Below are 6,000 nucleotides of genomic sequence, written 5' to 3' on the forward strand. Positions count from 1 at the left end.
TTACATGGTTCTAATAAGTAAACATGGAATATTGGTCTAACCAAAATGACATTTTGAATTTTATTTATTCTTGCATGTGCTTTTTAACATATTTAAAAATAGGGATTATCATATAATAAATGATATCTTACAAATGTCTTTGGCCAGGCAGCAATTCATAATAAGGTTGTCATTACCTATGCAAGACAGCATGGGCTGGGTTTGGTGGCTCACGCCTGTAATCCCAGCACTTTGGTAGGCTGAGTCAGAATTACTTGAGCTCAGGAGTTCAAGACGAGCTTGAACAACGTAGTGAGACCTCATTTCTATTTTAAAAAATATCAAAATAATTAGCCAGGCTTGGTGGTGCACACCTGTAGTCCCAGCTACTCAGGAAGCTGCGTTGGGAGGATCACTTGAGCCTGGGAGATTGAGGCTGCAGCGAGCTGTGATTGCACCACTATGCTCCAGTCTGGGAGACAGAACAAGACCCTACCTCAAAATAAACAAATAACAAACAGAAAGCAAGAACATCAAAAAATGCAGCATGCTGTGTTGGAGGTGTTCTGTAATTGGTTTGGTGGCAGCTACATTGTTATATACATACATAAGGCATCAATGGTGTGGGAATAAAGTGAAGTAGTAAAGTAAATGTGGCTGGCAATATTCTTGATGACGGAGAAAAAAAATCTAGCTAGCTGTGCATAATGCAAAACTTAATTAAAAGGCCAACATCGGGAGGAGCCAAGATGGCCGAACAGGAACAGCTCCGGTCTACAGCTCCCAGCGTGAGTGACGCAGAAGATGGGTGATTTATGCATTTCCATCTGAGGTACCGGGTCCATCTCACTAGGGAGTGCCAGACAGTGGGCGCAGGCCAGTGGGTGCGCGCACTGTGCGCGAGCCGAAGCAGGGCGAGGCATTGCCTCACCTGGGAAGTGCAAGGGGTCAGGGAGTTCCCTTTCCAAGTCAAAGAAAGGGGTGACGGACGCACCTGGAAAATCGGGTCACTCCTACCCGAATATTGTGCTTTTCAGACCGGCTTAAAAAACGGCGCACCACGAGACTATATCCCACACCTGGCTCGGAGGGTCCTATGCCCACGGAGTCTCGCTGATTGCTAGCACAGCAGTCTGAGATCAAACTGCAAGGAGGCAGCGAGGCTGGGGGAGGGGCGCCCGCCATTGCCCAGGCTTGCTTAGGTAAACAAAGCAGCCGGGAATCTCGAACTAGGGGGAGCCCACCACAGCTCAAGGAGGCCTGCCTGCCTCTGTAGGCTCCACCTCTGGGGGCAGGGCACAGACAAACAAAAAGACAGCAGTAACCTCTGCAGACTTAAATGTCCCTGTCTGACAGCTTTGAAGAGAGCAGTGGTTCTCCCAGCACGCAGCTGGAGATCTGAGAACGGGCAGACTGCCTCCTCAAGTGGGTCCCTGACCCCTGACCCCCGAGCAGCCTAACTGGGAGGCACCCCCCAGCAGAGGCACACTGACACCTCACATGGCAGGGTATTCCAACAGACCTGCAGCTGAGGGTCCTGTCTGTTAGAAGGAAAACTAACAAACAGAAAGGACATCCACACCGAAAACCCATCTGTACATCACCATCATCAAAGACCAAAAGTAGATAAAATCACAAAGATGGGGAAAAAACTGAACAGAAAAACTGGAAACTCTAAAACGCAGAGCACCTCTCCTCCTCCAAAGGAACGCAGTTCCTCACCAGCAACGGAACAAAGCTGGATGGAGAATGATTTTGACGAGCTGAGAGAAGAAGGCTTCAGATGATCAAATTACTCTGAGCTACAGGAGGACATTCAAACCAAAGGCAAAGAAGTTGAAAACTTTGAAAAAAATTTAGAAGAATGTATAACTAGAATAACCAATACAGAGAAGTGCTTAAAGGAGCTGATGGAGCTGAAAACCAAGGCTCGAGAACTACGTGAAGAATGCAGAAGCCTCAGGAGCCGATGCGATCAACTGGAAGAAAGGGTATCAGCAATGGAAGATGAAATGAATGAAATGAAGTGAGAAGGGAAGTTTAGAGAAAAAAGAATAAAAAGAAATGAGCAAAGCCTCCAAGAAATATGGGACTATGTGAAAAGACCAAATCTACGTCTGATTGGTGTACCTGAAAGTGATGGGGAGAATGGAACCAAGTTGGAAAATACTCTGCAGGATATTATCCAGGAGAACTTCCCCAATCTAGCAAGGCAGGCCAACGTTCAGATTCAGGAAATACAGAGAACGCCACAAAGATACTCCTCGAGAAGAGCAATTCCAAGACACATAATTGTCAGATTCACCAAAGTTGAAATGAAGGAAAAAATGTTAAGGGCAGCCAGAGAGAAAGGTCGGGTTACCCTCAAAGGGAAGCCCATCAGACTAACAGTGGATCTCTCGGCAGAAACCCTACAAGCCAGAAGAGAGTGGGGGCCAATATTCAACATTCTTAAAGAAAATAATTTTCAACCCAGAATTTCATATCCAGCGAAACTAAGCTTCATAAGTGAAGGAGAAATAAAATACTTTACAGACAAGCAAATGCTGAGAGATTTTGTCACCACCAGGCCTGCCCTAAAAGAGCTCCTGAAGGAAGTGCTAAACATGGAAAGCAACAACCGGTACCAGCCGCTGCAAAATCATGCCAAAATGTAAAGACCATCGAGACTAGGAAGAAACTGCATCAACTAATGAGCAAAATCACCAGCTAACATCATAATGACAGGATCAAATTCACACATAACAATATTAACTTTAAATGTAAATGGACTAAATGCTCCAATTAAAAGACACAGACTGGCAAGTTGGATAAAAAGTCAAGACCCATCAGTGTGCTGTATTCAGGAAACCCATCTCATGTGCAGAGACACACATAGGCTCAAAATAAAAGGATGGAGGAAGATCTACCAAGCAAATGGAAAACAAAAAAAGGCAGGGGTTGCAATCCTAGTCTCGGATAAAACAGACTTTAAACCAACAAAGATCAAAAGAGACAAAGAAGGCCATTACATAATGGTAAAGGGATCAATTCAACAAGAAGAGCTAACTATCCTAAATATATATGCACCCAATACAGGAGCACCCAGATTCATAAAGCAAGTCCTGAGTGACCTACAAAGAGACTTAGACTCCCACACATTAATAATGGGAGACTTTAACACCCCACTGTCAACATTAGACAGATCAAGGAGACAGAAAGTCAACAAGGATAGCCAGGAATTGAACTCAGCTCTGCACCAAGCGGACCTAATAGACATCTACAGAACTCTCCACCCCAAATCAACAGAATATACATTTTTTTCAGCACCACACCACACCTATTCCAAAATTGACCACATACTTGGAAGTAAAGCTCTCCTCAGCAAATGTAAAAGAAAAGAAATTATAACAAACTATCTCTCAGACCACAGTGCAATCAAACTAGAGCTCAGGATTAAGAATCTCACTCAAAGCCGCTCAACTACATGGAAACTGAACAACCTGCTCCTGAATGACTACTGGGTACATAATGAAATGAAGGCAGAAATAAAGATGTTCTTTGAAACCAACGAGAACAAAGACACAACATACCAGAATCTCTGGGACGCATTCAAAGCAGTGTGTAGAGGGAAATTTATAGCACTAAATGCCCACAAGAGAAAGCAGGAAAGATCCAAAATTGACACCGTAACATCACAATTAAAAGAACTAGAAAAGCAAGAGCAAACACATTCAAAAGCTAGCAGAAGGCAAGAAATAACCAAGATCAGAGCAGAACTGAAGGAAATAGAGACACAAAAAACCCTTCAAAAAATTAATGAATCCAGGAGCTGGTTTTTTGAAAGGATCAACAAAATTGATAGACCGCTAGCAAGACTAATAAAGAAAAAAAGAGAGAAGAATCAAATAGACACAATAAAAAATGATAAAGGGGATATCACCACCGATCCCACAGAAATACAAACTACCATCAGAGAATACTACAAACACCTCTACCCAAATAAACTAGAAAATCTAGAAGAAATGGATACATTCTTCGACACATACACTCTCCCAAGACTAAACCAGGAAGAAGTTGAATCTCTGAATAGACCAATAACAGGAGCTGAAATTGTGGCAATAATCAATAGTTTACCAACCAAAAAGAGTCCAGGACCAGATGGATTCACAGCCGAATTCTACCAGAGGTACAAGGAGGAACTGGTACCATTCCTTCTGAAACTATTCCAGTCAATAGAGAAAGAGGGAATCCTCCCTAACTCATTTTATGAGGCCAGCATCATTCTGATACCAAAGCCGGGCAGAGACACAACCAAAAAAGAGAATTTTAGACCAATATCCTTGATGAACATTGATGCAAAAATCCTCAATAAAATACTGGCAAACCGAATCCAGCAGCACATCAAAAAGCTTACCCACCATGATCAAGTGGGCTTCATCCCTGGGATGCAAGGCTGGTTCAATATACGCAAATCAATAAATGTAATCCAGCATATAAACAGAGCCAAAGACAAAAACCACATGATTATCTCAATAGATGCAGAAAAAGCCTTTGACAAAATTCAACAACCCTTCATGCTAAAAACTGTCAATAAATTAGGTATTGATGGGACGTATTTCAAAATAATAAGAGCTATCTATGACAAACCCACACCCAATATCATACTGAATGGGCAAAAACTGGAAGCATTCCCTTTGAAAACTGGCACAAGACAGGGATGCCCTCTCTCACCACTCCTATTCAACATAGTGTTGGAAGTTCTGGCCAGGGCAATCAGGCAGGAGAAGGAAATAAAGGGTATTCAATTAGGAAAAGAGGAAGTCAAATTGTCCCTGTTTGCAGACGACATGATTGTTTATCTAGAAAACCCCATCGTCTCAGCCCAAAATCTCCTTAAGCTGATAAGCAACTTCAGCAAAGTCTCAGGATACAAAATCAATGTACAAAAATCACAAGCATTCTTATACACCAACAACAGACAAACAGAGAGCCAAATCATGAGTGAACTCCCATTCACAATTGCTTCAAAGAGAATAAAATACCTAGGAATCCAACTTACAAGGGATGTGAAGGACCTCTTCAAGGAGAACTACAAACCACTGCTCAAGGAAATAAAAGAGGATACAAACAAATGGAAGAACATTCCATGCTCATGGGTAGGAAGAATCAATATCGTGAAAATGGCCATACTGCCCAAGGTAATTTACAGATTCAATGCCATCCCCATCAAGCAACCAATGACTTTCTTCACAGAATTGGAAAAAACTACTTTAAAGTTCATATGGAACCAAAAAAGAGCCCGCATCACCAAGTCAATCCTAAGCCAAAAGAACAAAGCTGGAGGCATCACACTACCTGACTTCAAACTATACTACAAGGCTACAGTAACCAAAACAGCATGGTACTGGTACCAAAACAGAGATATAGATCAATGGAACAGAACAGAGCCCTCAGAAATAATGCCGCATACCTACAACTATCTGATCTTTGACAAACCTGAGAAAAACAAGCAATGGGGAAAGGATTCCCTATTTAATAAATGGTGCTGGGAAAACTGGCTAGCCATATGTAGAAAGCTGAAACTGGATCCCTTCCTTACACCTTATATAAAAATCAATTCAAGATGGATTAAAGATTTAAACGTTAGACCTAAAACCATAAAAACCCTAGAAGAAAACCTAGGCATTACCATTCAGGACATAGGCGTGGGCAAGGACTTCATGTCCAAAACACCAAAAGCAATGGCAACAAAAGACAAAATTGACAAATGGGATCTAATTAAACTAAAGAGCTTCTGCACAGCAAAAGAAACTACCATCAGAGTGAACAGGCAACCTACAACATGGGAGAAAATTTTCGCAACCTACTCATCTGACAAAGGGCTAATATCCAGAATCTACAATGAACTCAAACAAATTTACAAGAAAAAAACAAACAACCCCATCAAAAAGTGGGCGAAGGACATGAACAGACACTTCTCAAAAGAAGACATTTATGCAGCCAAAAAATACATGAAAAAATGCTCATCATCACTGGCCA

At 42.0% G+C, this 6,000-nt stretch overlaps 1 annotated feature.

The window, feature by feature from the left end:
• Positions 1,016-1,515: an enhancer, noted in NCBI's record as "H3K4me1 hESC enhancer chr1:82716029-82716528 (GRCh37/hg19 assembly coordinates)". NCBI's record gives its function as "activates a minimal SCP1, AML or CMV promoter by ChIP-STARR-seq in naive H9 embryonic stem cells {active_cell/tissue: H9 hESC(naive)}" and the evidence as "EXISTENCE:reporter gene assay evidence [ECO:0000049][PMID:30033119]".

The sequence above is a fragment of the Homo sapiens genome, chromosome 1, assembly GCF_000001405.40.
Source record: "Homo sapiens chromosome 1, GRCh38.p14 Primary Assembly".
NCBI lineage: Eukaryota > Metazoa > Chordata > Mammalia > Primates > Hominidae > Homo > Homo sapiens.